We start from the raw sequence: 15,036 nt of genomic DNA, 5'->3' as shown, positions 1-15,036 counted from the left end.
GATCACTTGAGGTCAGGAGTTCGAGACCAGCCTCGCCAACATGATGAAACCCCATATCTACCAAGAATATAAAAAATTAGCCGAGTGTGGTGGCACACACGTGTAATCCCAGCTACTCGGGAGGCTGAGGCAGGAGAATTGCTAGAACCCAGGAGGGGGAGGTTGCAGTGAGCCAAGATCTTGCCATTGCACTCCAGCCTGGGTGTTAGACTCTGTCTCAAAAAAAAAAAAAAAAAAAAAAAAAAAAAAAAACACTTTTAAATTTAGGACCATAATTGCACTGACTCTGTGCTGAAGCGACTTAATGAACACCAAGTACTTTATTTCTTCTTCCGGAAGAGAAGAGGAATCATAAATGCAACTCTGACTAGAGGAAGGTTTTAACAAACCTGTTTTAGGCTTGTAAGAGTCTTCCCGTGAGGTTGCGGTAACATAAAGGTGTTTGATATTCATATGTTATCTGTAATGTTTTTCTCAAGATGATGGAGGAGGATTTGCAAGGAGCTTCCCAAGTTAAAGAAGAAACAGACATAGCAGAGCAGAAATCAGAACCAATGGAAGTGGATGAAAAGAAACCTGAAGTGAAAGTAGAAGTTAAAGAGGAAGAAGAGAGTAGCAGTAACGGCACAGCCTCTCAGTCAACATCTCCTTCGCAGCCGCGCAAAAAAAGTAGGCCATTTATTCATTACCTTATTAAAGCATGCTGCTTTTCCACGGTGTTAGGATTCCATGTGGAGGATTAAAAGCTAAAGTAGAAACATAATTCTATCTGCCCTTTTACCTTTCTTGCCTGCCATTCCCCAGACTTTCCCCTGCAGAAACACTCAGGCTGAGCAGGACCCCTGCCCTGTGCCTGTGGGGCTCATGGCAGGAGTGAGAGATGAGCTGCTGCTCCGAGGGCACCCAGGCTGCAGAGCTGTCTTCTGATGGTGCTGGCAGGGGCCGAGTTGAAATGTGTCTGGGTCCTTGAGCAGGTTAAGGAGCTTGGCTTTACTCATAAAAGTATAAAGAACCAGTGATGTATGTGAGTAGGAGAATAACCAAAAAAGCCATAATTTAAGGAAGATGGTCATTATGACAGCACAGGGTGACTTGGAGGCAGAAGGTTTCTGCAGGTGCAGTGAGGAAGCTGAGCATGCAGAGTGAGGGGCAGGGTGGCGCCTAGGGACCCTGTGTAGTGAGACATGGGGGAGGGGTAGGTTAGGCATCTTTGGGGTCTGAGATGTGTGAGGTAAGCCCGCCTCACAGTGGAAGTTGGATGGAATCCATTTGAGATGTATCCACAGTAAAGAGATAACAGGGTATCAGAAAATTGTCAAGTGAACCTTAGAAATGGGAGACAGGACTCAGAAAGTCCAAGGCTGCAGATGACACTTTTGGGAAAGATTGCAGAGAAATGTTAGAGACTGAGACCATGTTACTCTGCAGCTGGAAGGGACCCTGGAGAGTGTGGAGTACAGTGAATCTCAGGGCTCTTTATACTCTTAGAAATTGAGGGCCCCAGAGAGTTGTTGTGTGGATTATCTATCATTGCTTACTCTACTGGAAACTAAAGTTGAGAAATTTGAGTACAGTGGCTTACACCTGTAATCCCAGCACTTTGGGAGGCTGAGATGGGAGGCTTGCTTGATGCTGGGAGTTCAAAACCAGCCTGAGCAACATAGCAAGGCTCCATCTCTACAAAACTAAAATAAAACTAGCTAAGTGTGGTGGTGCACGCCTATAATTCTAGCTGCTCGAGAAGCGGAAGCGGCAGGATTGCCTGAGCCTAGGAGTTTGAGGCTGCAGTGAGCCCAGATCACATCACTGCACTCTAGCCTGGGAGACAAAAGTGAGATTGTTGTCTGAAAAAAAAAAAGAGAAAAATTTTTAAATATTTAGTTCATTTAAAATAGTCTGTTACATGGCACCCATAGAAAACATTTATATGAAAAACAATTTTTCCAAAACAAAAATAAGTAAGAATAGTGGCGTTATTAAGGGTATCTGCCTCTGCATTTACTGTGTTGTGATTGGTTATTTTGGTTGAAGTGTATGAAGAAAATCCTGTAGTTGGTAAAGGGAGAAGTATTTTCGTAGCCCTTTCAGCTGATTGTGGATATTCTTTGATACTATACCAAAATTCAGCCAGTGAAGGTTTCTTAAAGGTTAGTTGCGACATTGAACCAGAATCTATAGCACTGGATTTTTCATAGTCTGTGACATTAGAATCCATTGATCCATCTTGTACTTGGAATGGATCTTTTGTGCTTGCATGATTTTTTTTTCAATTGACACTTAAGTTCTGCAGATTTTCCATATGTTGACATATTTCACTATACAGTGTCAAAAAAAAATCAACATTTGTTAATACCACCATCAGTCTCTTCAAACAAGTCTTACCAACTTAGAAAAGCAGGGCGTGCATGGTGGCTCACACCCGTAATCTCAGCATTTTGGGAGGCTGAGGGGGAAGGATTGCTTGAGCCCAGGAATTCAGGGTCTATGATTGCACCACTGCACTCTAGCCTGGAGCTCAGGAGTTCGAGAGCAGCCTAGGCAACATGGCGAAACCTAATCTCTATTAAAAAAAAATTAGCTGGGTATGGTAGTGCATGCCTGTAGCTGCAGCTACTCGAGAGGTTGAGGTGGGAGAATCACCTGAGCCTGGGAGGTCAAAGATGCACTGAGCCTTGATCATGTCACTGTACTCCAGCCTAAGTGACAGAGTGAGGCCCTGTCTCAAAAAATAATACTAATAATAAATTTTGAGAAGCTGTGAAGCCCATGTACAAGTTTTCCAAAGCATTTGATTTTTTTATGAAAGCCCAAATTTTAGCATTGGCAACAAATACTGTCAGTTGTCCTTGAAGTAACTGGCCCTCTTTGTTCATTTCTGAGAAAATGTCTGACATATAACCAGAGCTTAGTAACTATAGCTTATCTCTCAGTCATTCCTGAAAGTTTTAATGTGCTCCACGAGGGCAAGCAGCTACTTCAGCTGTAAATTCCAACACTTGCCCAAGTACTGCCTCCTGATGTGGCCACTGTGCCTATGCAGCGCACATCTTTTATTCTGTGTGAGGAGATAGGCAGAATGTTTCATCACACAGAATAAAAGACATGTACCAGGCGGCCAGACGCGGTGCCTCACACCTGTAATCCCCGCACTTTCGGAGGCCAAGGCAGGCAGATCACGAGGTCAGCAGATCAGGACCATCCTGGCTAATACGGTGAAACCCCGTCTCTACTAAACAAAATACAAAAAATTATGCGGGCGTGGTGGCGGGCGCCTGTAGTCCCAGCTGCTCGGGAGGCTGAGGCAGGAGAATGGTGTGAACCCAGGAGGCAGAGCTTGTAGTGAGCCGAGATACTGCACTCCAGCCTGGGAGACAGAGCGAGACGCCGTCTCAAAAAACAAAAACAAAAACAAAAACAAAACAAAAAAAAAAACCACACACATGTACCAAACGCTTAAGATTTAATACAAGGAATACTTTTTACTATCTCATCAAGAATATTTTTTCAGCCAGGTGTGGTGGCTCACATCTGTAATCTCAGCACTTTGGAAGGCCAAAGTGGGAGGATCACTTGAAGCCAGGAGTTCAAGACTAGCCTGGGCAACATAGTAAGACCCTGTCTCTACAAAAAATTAAAAATCAGCCAAGTGTGGTGGTGCATGCCTGTAGTCCTGGCTACTCAGGAGGCTGAGGCAGCAGGATCACTTGAGCTCAGGGGTCCAAGGCTGCAGCAAGCTGTGATGCCACTGTTGGACTCCAGCCTGGACAACAGAGCAAGGCCCTATCTCAAAAATAAATTAATTAATTAAGAAATGAGTGGACACAGTGGCTCCCACCTATAATCCCAGCACTTTGGGAGGCGAACACAGGAGGATTACTTATGGCCAGGCGTTCAAGACCAGCCTGGGCAACGTAGTGAGACCCTGTCTCTACAAAACAGTTTAAAAATTAGCCAGGTGTGGTGGTGCACCTGTAGTCCCAATGGCTCAGGAGGCTGAGGTGGGAAGATTGCTTGAGCCCAGGAGGTTGAGGCTGTAGTGAACCATGATTGTGCCAGTGCGTTCTAGCCTGGATGAGAGAGTGAGACCCTGTCTTAAAAATAAAGAATATTTTTTCTTGGCTGGGAGCAGTGGCTCATGCCTATAATCCAAGGACTTTGGGAGGCTAAGGCAGGAGGAATACTTGAGGCCAGGAGTTCAAGCCAGCCTGGGCAACATAGCAAGAACCCATCTCTACCCAAAAAAAAGAAGAAAAATTTTAAACAAATTTTCTTAAGCATGGCTGGTATTTTTTTTCTTGTGACTGTACAGCAGCAGCAGTGTGTGTGATAACAGTAGAGTTTGGTGATGTTGGCTTTCTTTTCCTTTGTTTTTGCTTTTTAGCTGGGTGTGGCAGCATGCGCCTGTAGTCCCAGCTACTCGGAAGGCTGAGGCAGGAGAATCACTTGAACCCAGGAGGTGGAGGCTGCAGTGAGCCGAGATTATGCCACTGCACTCCAGCCTGGGCAACAGAGTGAGACTCCTTCTCAAAAAAAAAAAAAAAAAAGATTGCTTTTTTCCCATCTGTGCAGATGTCCAACATAGTGCAAAAGGCAAATGATAATTTAGTGTTATAAAAATTGTTTCAGGCCGGGCGCAGTGGCTCACACCTGTAATCCCAACACTTTGGGAAGCTGAGGCGGGTGGATCACCTGAGGTCAGGAGTTCCAGACCAGCCTGGCCAACATGGCGAAACCCCGTCTCTACTAAAAATACAAAAATTAGTCGGGCCTGGTGGCGCATGCCTGTAATCCCAACTACTCAGGAGGCTGAGGCAGAAGAATCACTTGAACCCAGGAGGCGGCAGAGGTTGCAGTGAGCTGAGATCGTGCCATTGCACTCCAGCCTGGGCAACAAGAGAGAAACTTCGTCTCAAAACAAAATTGTTTCAGGCTGGGCTTTGGGGTTCACACCTGCAACTCCAGCACTTTTGGAGGCTGAGGTGGGAAGATCACTTGAGGCCCAGAGTTCAAGACCAGCCTGGGCAACATGGTGAGACCCTGTCTCTGTAGAAAAAAATAAGAAAATAGCTGGTTATGGTGGTGCATGCTTATAGTCCCTCATGCTACTCATGAGGCTGAATTAGGAGGGTTGCTTGAGCCTAGGAGGTCAAGTTTGCATGCAGTGGGCTGTGATTACGCTACTGCACTCCAGAAGACCTCGTCTCAAAAAAAAAAAAAAAATTGGTTTCAGTTTTGGTGAAATAGTTTTCATCTTACAGCACATAGAAGGGCCTAGGGCAGTGCTATAACTTGAGCACCTAAAATGTGACCAGGGTGGCCGGGCGTGGTGGCTCACCCCTATAATCACAGCACTTTGGGAGGCCGAGGCGGGCGGATCACGAGGTCGGGAGATCGAGACCATCCTGGCTAATACAGTGAAACCCTGTCTCTACTAAAAGTACAAAAAATTAGCCGGCCATGGTGACAGGCGCCTGTAGTCCCAGCGACTCGGGAGGCTGAGGCAGGAGAATGGCATGAACCTGGGAGGCGGAGCTTGCAGTGAGCCGAGATCGCGCCACTGCACTCCAGCCTGGGCGACAGAGCAAGACTCCGTCTCAAAAAAATAAAAATGTGACCAGGGTGACCGAGGAACTGAGTTTTTTATTTTTTGTAATATTATTCGTTTGGTAAAATTTCAGTAGTCACAGGGGCTGGGGACTGCGATATGAGACAGCAGCCTCCAAGGGCTCGAGAGCCGCGTTTTTGGGAGATGCTGGTGCGCTGCAACAGCCCTGCCGCGTGGAGCAGGTCCTCGGGCCAGAGGAGGGGAGCGGCGCAGTTCACATACACTCCTGACTTCACTTCTGCACATATGGGATCTTCTTACAGAAAGGTGCTGGTGAAGACAGGAGTCTGAAAATGCTCTCCTCGGCCAGGCACCGTGGCTCACGCCTGTAATCCCAGCACTTTGGGGGCCGAGATTGCACCACTGCACTCCAGCCTGGGTGACAGCGCGAGACTCCATCTCAAAAAAAAAAAAAAAAAAAAGGAAAGAAAATGCTCTCCTCAGCACGGAATTTGAATAGTTATTTAATGAATGAATAAATGATCAACCAAAGTGACACTTGTTTCAGGCCCTGTCACTCCCGATTACCACTGGGGCGGTGACAGGGTCTGCAGGCCTTCTCCGTGCAGAGGCCCAGTGATCCACGCTGTGGGCTTTGTGCGTCCTGAGGCCTCTGTTACCACTCCTCAGTGCTGCCACTGTGGCACGGAGGCAGCTACAGATCCTATATAAACGAATGAGCACAGCTATGTGCCAATAAAGCTGTATTTTTGGAGACTAACACTTGAATTTTGTGTGATTTTCACATGTCATGAAATAGTATTCTTTTCTTTTTCTTCTGCCAAACATTAAACAATGTGAAATCCATTGTTAGCTCTTGGGCCATACAGAAAAGCAAGCAGCTGGCCACATTTGGCCTCTTGGTCATAATTTGCCAACCCCTCATTCAGAGAAATCAAAAGGCTATTTGTTACATAATTGTTTTCTCATAAAAAGTTATTCAAAGACTAGCAAATGCTGCTTCGTCTGTGCATAAAACAGAAGAAAGGAGTTAGTAGGAAGCAAGGCTGTGTGTTTCCGACGCTTCCCACTGTGAAGGGCACGTCTGCACCCTGGACCAGGCCTTTGCACCTTCAAGTGCTGGGGACCGTGTGCGTGGGGAGTGCTGCGTCGGGGTTTTTACCTGGTTGCCCGGACCTCAGGCTGCTGTCAGAGGTCTGAAGCAGCCACGTGCCCTGGAGAGGAGGCGGTGTCTGCGGAGGTTGGTCAAGAGTCTGTATCCTGGGCTTTGATGGAAATGAGCCCTGAGGCATGTTCTTGGTGCGCCTGTTTTCATCTCTAAAGTGAGCCTGTTAAACACATGGGTTTTTCCTTCCAACTTTTAACTTTTGCTTTCACCAGTTAGGAATCAGATGACGCTTTCCAGAATTTGTCAAGTTAGACCATCCCCACCCCACACAGAATTGATGGCAGGTCCATGTACCTGATGCTTGCCGCTTCCCAACTGGAACTTTAAATGTTTACCATATTTTAATCTGATTTTTAAATTACAGTTTACCACTTACCTGTTGTAAGAAATCTTTTCAGCCGGGCATGGTGGCTCACACCTGTAATCCCAGCACTTTGGGAGGCTGAGGCAAGCAGATCACATCACCTGAGGTCAGGAGTTCGAGACCAGCCTGACCAACATGGAGAAACCCAGTCTCTACTAAAAATACAAAATTAGCTGGGTGTGGTGGTGCATGCCTGTAATCCCAACTACTCGGAAGGCTGAGGCAGGAGAATCGCTTGAACCCGGGAGGCGGAGATTGCAGTGAGCCAAGATCACGCCATTGCACTCCAGCCTAGACAACAAGAGTGAAACTCCGTCTCAAAAAAAACAAATCTTTTCAAGATACAAAAAACAGACCAGGCCCAGTGGCTCACACCTATAATGTTATTGCTTTGAGAGGCTGAGGCAGGAGAATCACTTGAGGCCGAGAGTTCAATACCAGCCTGGGCAACATAGTGATATGACAAGATCACTTGAGCCCAGGAGTTTGCAGCTACAGTGGCTATGATGGCGCCACTACATTGCCCTCCAGCCTGGGCGTTGGAGCAAGACTCTGTCTCTAAAAATATAAAATGAGATGGGCATGATGGCTGGGTACAGTGGCTCATGCCTGTAATCCCAGCACTTTGGAAGGCCAGGGCGGGTAGATCATTTGAGATCAAGAGTTTGAGACCAACCTGGCCAACATGATGAAACCCATCTTCTACTAAAAATTACAAAAATCAGCTGGGCGTGGTGGTGGGCACCTGTAATCCCAGCTACTCGGGAGGCTGAGGCAGGAGAATCACTTGAATTCAGGAGGCTGAGGTTGCTGTGAGCCGAGATCGTACCACTGCACTCCAGCCTGGGTGACAGAGCAAGACTCTGTCTCAAAAAAAAAAAAAAAAAAAAAAAAAAAAACCTGGGCATGATAGCTTAGTGCCCGTAATCTCAGCACTTTGGAAGGCTGAGGCAGGGGGAGCGCTTGAGCTCAGGAGTTCGAGACCAGCTTGGACAACATAGTGAGACCTCATCTCCATAAAAAATTTAAAAATGAGTCAGGCATGGTAGCACACACCTGTAGTCCCAGTTACTCCTGAGGCTGAGGCAGGAGGATGGCTTGAGCCTGGGAGGTTGAAGCTGCAGTGAGCTGAGATGATGCCATTGTCCCCCAACCTGGGCAACAGAGTGCGACCTTGTCTCAAAAATAATAATTTAATTAAAAATTAAAGAACACCAAGAAAAAATACATCACTTATAAGCTAAGGCATCAGAATGCCTGAGACATCTTTGCCTCCAGTTTCTTCTCTGTGTGAGTGAACATGAGCCAGGTGGGGTCGTGACACGCTGACTGCTGACTGGCCGGCCTCCCACACCGAACAGCTTCCCTGGCACCTGTTCCCATACTTGTTGAGGGTTTGTATGAATGTACCATCTTGAATGTATTTGGCAGCCAGTATTTTATGTTTGTATTAGTGAAAACAGAGAGTGTAGTAGGCAGTAAGGTGTCTGAGGGGTTGGAGAAATTGGCATTAGTAAATGTGGGAGTAAGCAATATGGAACTTTTTATAAAAATGCTTTATTTTGTAGCTCTATTACTGTTTACATTTATGAGATTCAAAACCGTTTGTCTCCAGTGGCCTGAATTTAATTTAGCCAAGGATAAAAAACTTTACTCAGAGGATCTTTTAAGGTCCCTTCCAATGAAATGGTCTTTTTTTTTTGGAGACAGAGTTTTGCTCTTGTTGTCCAGGCTGGAGTGCAGTGGCGCAATCTCGGCTCACTGCAACCTCCGTCTCCTGGGTTCAAGCAATTTTCCTTTCTCACCCTCTCGAGTAGCGGGGCTTATAGGAACCCCCGACACACACCAGGCTAAATTTGTGTTTAGTAGAGACGAGGTTTCACTACGTTGGTCAGGCTGGTCTTGAACTCCTGACCTCAGGTGATCCGCCCTCCTCAGTCTCCCAAAGTGCTGGGATTACATGTGTGAGCCACCATGCCCAGCCTGAAATGGCTTTATTTGCCACCCAGTTTGATGAATGAGACAGATTTGGGAGTTAGCTTTACTTTCTTTTTCAGCCAAGTTTTTAATGTTGGAAACCTTTCATGGAAGAAGCAAACTTCCCAGTGTTGTATTTTGCCTCACAAGCTGAACACAGTTCTGACACTAGTGTGTTTTCAGAAGCTTTAGTCCTTAACGGTGATGGACGAGAGCCCCTCGAGTGCCTTAGGAGCATCGTGGCTGGGATGTCACAGCAGCCAGGATTCCGTTTTAAATGTGAGGTAGGAGGGATCTGAGCACCTTTTACAAAGTGTCTTTTCTTGATGTTTTCTCTGCAGTCTTTAAACCAGAGGAGTTACGCCAGGCCCTCATGCCAACCCTAGAAGCACTGTATCGACAGGACCCAGAGTCATTACCTTTCCGGCAGCCTGTAGATCCCCAGCTCCTCGGAATTCCAGTAAGTTAATTCATAAAAATAGATTATAACTTTGCTGGTGTGACTTCTGAGTGTCCATTGTTTTATCTCTTGAAATTAGATAAAATAATCCCCCTGCCTTGAAGATTGTTCTCCTAATATAAAAAACTGTTGTCTGTTAACAGTTATCAGTGAAAGTGTTTATTTTGTTTGATTTCACCTGTTCATGAAGCCCTGGTCCTTGGAGGAGGGGTGCACTGAAGCAAGGGAAGCACATGCCCCTGAGACTTCACTTTATATTTGGGGCCTTGTGTCACTTTTGTCTGAAAGAATTTGTGAACATGAACTGTAAAAAAATATTTGGGCTTCTCTCTTTTATATTCCTGGATAGCCTTGCAAAGGCCATGGGGACCCAGCCGATTCTATGTAGCAGTCATTACTAGCTTTGTGTTTATATTTGTCTTGTAATTTCATTTTGCTTGCTAGGATCAAGAGTGAATATCTAGAAATACACACTGTTTGATAAACTTGTTCACTATTTTAATTCAGTGGATTAAAGATCTATTTTTAAAATTTTTTGTTAGAAGTATCTTTTAACAATTTTTCTTTACTTTTGCCTTTGGAGTATTATAATGTGATCATACCTGAAAATACTAATTACACTTTTAGTGAGTAAAATCAGTTGCGTCAGAGGTTATTTTCTTTTCATTTCCTATTTCTTACTGTTGGGAATGGAAGTTATTTTGGTGCTTTCTGTTTCTATTATTTTAAAACAAAGCTGCCAGATGAGACTGGCATTTGGATATTGGGGGATTCCCTATACTGAGACCATTTTTTTTTTTTTAAGGACTATTTTGACATCGTAAAGAATCCCATGGACCTCTCCACCATCAAGCGGAAGCTGGACACAGGGCAATACCAAGAGCCCTGGCAGTACGTGGACGACGTCTGGCTCATGTTCAACAATGCCTGGCTCTATAATCGCAAGACATCCCGAGTCTATAAGTTTTGCAGTAAGCTTGCAGAGGTCTTTGAGCAGGAAATTGACCCTGTCATGCAGTCCCTTGGATATTGCTGTGGACGCAAGGTACAGTTTTAAGTTTTTCCGGAAAGTGAATTTTCCTGGTTAATCCAGCCAGAGGGGTGTTATACTAATATGAGACCACGCCTGTATACTGGGAGTGCATATGTGCAATCTGCTGTCTGGTGACACAGTTGATGCCTGAAGCGATGTGATGGGTGATCAGAGCTGGGTGTACAGGCGCTTACTGAGGGAGGCCATGGGGAAGCGTTTCTGGCTGCCCCTCTCTGCCTGTGGTACCTGTCTGTAGTGAATGTCTCTTAGAGCCAGTTCTATCACATGCTATCCCAAAATGTCTTTAAAGCTACTAAAATTGTTAGAAAACTGTCTAATATACTAACAGAAATAATTTACTAGTCTCTATAGTAGACTAGAACATTATAAGACAGTAAATGGAATGTATTTTTATATAAAAGTATTTCTCCTTTATTTTTGCAGTATGAGTTTTCCCCACAGACTTTGTGCTGCTATGGGAAGCAGCTGTGTACCATTCCTCGCGATGCTGCCTACTACAGCTATCAGAATAGGTAAGCGTCAAGCAGCATCCTGCATTATGTCTTAGGGCAAGGCACGTTCATCTGGTTATAGTCTGTGTACATTATTTCTTTCCTGAAGTTCCAATAAAAAGTGGCCCAATTTCAGGCCGGGTGTGGTGGCTCACGCCTGTAATCCCAGCACTTTGGGAGGCTGAGGTGGGAGAATCACTTGAGCCCAGGAGTTATGTTATCAGCCTTGGCGACATAGAGAAACCCCCATCTCTATTTGAAAAGAAAAAAAAAGAGAAAAAGTGGCTCGGTTTCAGTGTCTTGTTAGTCACTTAGGCCCATGGCCTCTTAGTTAGTTATAAAGCGTACTTTTACAGTGTAAAAACTGTAACCTCAGAGCCAAGTCTTGCCGTACTACTTGGATTAGGTACGTTATTTCTTCAGCCCTGCCCGTTCTAAAACGCAGCCCTAGAAGCAAGCGTCTGAAGTTGAGAGTAACTCTGATAAAGGTTGACATGCCTTTTTCAAGATGTTCATAGAGTAGAAAATGTGGATTTTACTATTCTACCTGCAAATATTTGCCTGGTAATTTGGCCTGATCAGTCTCATGGAAAGACTTGCATGAGTGCTGCTTCCTATAAGGCAGAGGAAAAGGGTCCATGATCTTTATTTTTAAATTTTACACTAGCAGCACGATACAAAATGAGATCTGGTGTTTTAATTGAGTTCAAGAATGTGATTCTGTTGCCTCCTATTATAAGATGGCCATTTCAGGGTTTTGTGAGTGGTGGATCTGCTTAAGAAATACTTGCCATTCTTTTGGAATATGAAGATGGCTAAAGAATAGATCTCCTGTCTTAAAATAGGTAGAGAGTGAGAATAGTATTTTTTGTTGTGGTTTCCCACAAAATACAGCTTGCGTAGTTTTGGAGTTGTTTGAGAAGTCAGCTTATCTGTACCGCAGCGTGTAAGTGTCCATGTGCCGCTGCAGTGTGAGCGCACCATGCGTGGAGGCACAGGTCAGGAATCTTGCTCAAACTGTGACGTTGCCTCTATTTTATGAGCCAGCAGCTGGATTCTCTGTGGCCAAGATAGAGGTTTGTGCCTGTTCTTTGTCTTTAGGTTCAAATAATAAGCGTCAACAGTGGGGTTTGGCGTTTTTTATTATTTTACTCTCATTTGGTCAGAGTAATTATGTCCTATACTTCAAAGAAGACAGAAGGCTTTTTGTTATTTGTTCACAGGCCTGAAAATTTTGGAGTTTTATGGTTATGTGTTTTAATTCTTCTATGTTTTTTTTAAAAATCCATATTCAAGATAAGTAATAACTCCCATCAAAATCCTATTTTTAAAAAAAATCCTTTTGACACAAAAATGTCTCAAAAAAGGTTCCTAAGCCTTTTCTATTAGGAATAAGCCTGGCCTGCTTATTCCTAATACTGTTCAGTGTAGTGAAACACTGGTGCAAGGGGGAAGGACAGACCCTAAACTGCATCCCTGCTAGAAGTGCAGCGTGTGCAATTGTCCTGCTGAAAATAGTTTAACATTCAGAGTCTGATTTCCATCTCAACTTCCCCTTTATCAATAGAAACATTTTATGACCAAGTTTAAAATGATACCATAGCCCCTTCCTAATGGGATCTCTCCCATAGTGACTTGCTGCTCTTTGGGAAGTTCTGGCCACTCCTTTTATGCTTTTAGCCCCATGACCTTCAGCAGACCCCATGATGTATTAATGTATTAAGCTTAGCCTTGTCTGTGATACAGACAATAGCGTCTTCCCTCGCAGCCTCATTTTGTCAGGTCCTCAATGATGAAATAATGAATAGGAATGCACTTTAAAAACCATTTGTGCCAAGCAAAATAAAGTTAATGATATCTTCAGAGAAAGGTTAATATTAACTACACCCAGAAAAATGCCACCCCTGCTACGTTGCCCAACACAGTTTTGGTCTAGAAGGAAGGTAGATTGTTTACCACTGTCTCTAAAGTGTTGTGGGGCCTGTTCCTGGGTCCGTTGGTACCCTGCCTTTGCTGATTTGCACAGATTTTGGTCTTTTACATTGAGAGCAATTAAAGTTAAATGGAATTGGTAGGACCAAAGAGTCATTGATGGCATATGAAGTCATTGATGGCATATAAAGTCATTGATGGCATGAAAGTTCTGAAACGTCTAATTTTATTTCTGTATAGAACTTCATTTTTACTAAACAAAAGTAATGTATTTTTAAGAGTGGAAATGCAAATAAAGGAGTTCCATTTTATTAGTGATAATTTTTAAAGCGTAGGCGTAGCGTTCCTCAGACGATCACAGGCATGCTCTCTAGAACAGTGTATCTGACTGAGTAGGTTAGCATATTATCATCCTGAGAAAGCAGTGGCCTGATTCTGTAACAAATACTTTAACTGCTTATGTTTTTATTTTCAACTTTGACTATTTATGAACACTGCAGTGTTCTTATGAATAATTGTCTTGGCACTTGTAGTCCTAAACTGGGCACTTAGAACAATAAAAAATCCTACAGATCATTTAAACAAGTGAAACCCTAATATATAAGTGAGCGTATGATTACATTTTCACTTGTTTTCATACTTTGCAAATTTGAAAGTAACTCATGTTGGAAAAACTGTTCTTTAGCTTTCCCAGTTAGTATCTGTAGATAATATAAGTATTATCTATAGATATCCCAGTGATATGTACTGATATGGTACTTAAAACAATCTGCATTTGAAAACTTAGTCCATATATTAAATTACCCTTACAGATAAACTATGCAGTTCCATGGTACTATAGCAACCCTGAAATGCATCATCACTGGATTATGTGAAGTATTTCTCCTTTGCAATTCCATATTCATCAAGCTGCTTCCTTCACACCAGGCAAAATGTCATCTAGGCGCTTAAGTTGAAAAGTGAATTTCTAAATCTTTATGTGTTTCCAGGGAGAATAAAGTGTGGACTAGGTAAGAAGGTAGGGGCAGTCTGGCAATAACATCTATCACTCATAGACTGCCAGGGTTGCTTTAGCTGATTTTACTAGTTGGGGGTGACTGTTCCCTTTTCTGTGTGCTGTCTTCCTCTCTCAGAACAGTAATAAAGTGAAGCCACGGGCCCCTCTTCCTCCCCTTCTTAAACACGAACAGGCTAAATTGTCCATTTCTCCAGCAGTTTTGAGGCAGACAAGGAGTCTGTTGATAATGCTTTGCCTCCCCGGTTCTGATCCTGGGATTTTCCAGGGTGGGAGTCAGTCATACAGGAAGAGCCTCAGTTTCCCAGCCACTGCATGGGCTGCCATTCCACCACCAGTGCCTCCCTCAGTGTCACTTTCCTCGGTGGGGAAGGATGGGTTTATGGTTCTTGTTTCCTGGATGTTGCTGGGCTTGCTGTCCTTAAATAAAAGCAAAGGATTTCTCCAGGATTTTAAAACCATTTAGACTCACCTGTGATTACGGTGGGAGTTTCATTTCAGAATGTCTTGAACGGTCCCTTCTAGTTGGCCATAGTTCTGCGTGTTTGATTGTATCATGAATGGGGCACTCAATTAGGAGTTTTACTTATAAAAGGGAAGTATTGGGGATTGAGGGAATGTCTTTTTTGTGTATTGTTTTGGTTGCCACTGAATTGGTTTATAGTTTCTGTACTTTAATTCCTTCTTGCCAGTGATGACCATACCCTCCTGCACACGGAAGTTCTTCTTCATACCGGATTTTAGGATATTTACAAAATAGTGAATGGCCAGAATATTGCTATAGTTCATTCAGGGAAAAAAAAAATACATATTTAAAGAAAAACATTAATCTGCCTCTTGCCTGTCAGAGTGTTAAATCCTGACATAATTTATTAATTGAGTTAGTGCCAAATAAATTAGTCCCAGCAAGAAACCTTCATTAATCTAGTGAATCTGTCATGTTCCTCATCAACCAAACACAAAAAATTGGCTCATCTTGAGATGTGCATGCACTGAAGTTGTATGCTTT

General features: G+C 43.9%; 1 protein-coding gene across 10 annotated transcripts in view; it reads left to right on the top strand.

The window, feature by feature from the left end:
- Nucleotides 1-15,036, top strand: part of CREBBP (CREB binding lysine acetyltransferase) — a 155,660-nt gene that overhangs the window by 112,325 nt on the left and 28,299 nt on the right. For all 10 annotated transcript variants that reach the window (XM_047433625.1, XM_047433624.1, XM_005255124.5 and 7 more), the window contains 4 exons: nucleotides 480-669; nucleotides 9,417-9,535; nucleotides 10,341-10,580; nucleotides 11,013-11,101. In XM_047433625.1, coding sequence (XP_047289581.1) covers nucleotides 480-669; nucleotides 9,417-9,535; nucleotides 10,341-10,580; nucleotides 11,013-11,101 — 638 coding nt within the window. The remainder of the gene's footprint in view (nucleotides 1-479; nucleotides 670-9,416; nucleotides 9,536-10,340; nucleotides 10,581-11,012; nucleotides 11,102-15,036) is intronic.

This window comes from Homo sapiens, chromosome 16 (genome assembly GCF_000001405.40).
Source record: "Homo sapiens chromosome 16, GRCh38.p14 Primary Assembly".
NCBI lineage: Eukaryota > Metazoa > Chordata > Mammalia > Primates > Hominidae > Homo > Homo sapiens.
The sequence above is the reverse complement of the archived record's forward strand: the minus strand, read 5'-3'. Positions and strand labels throughout refer to the sequence as shown.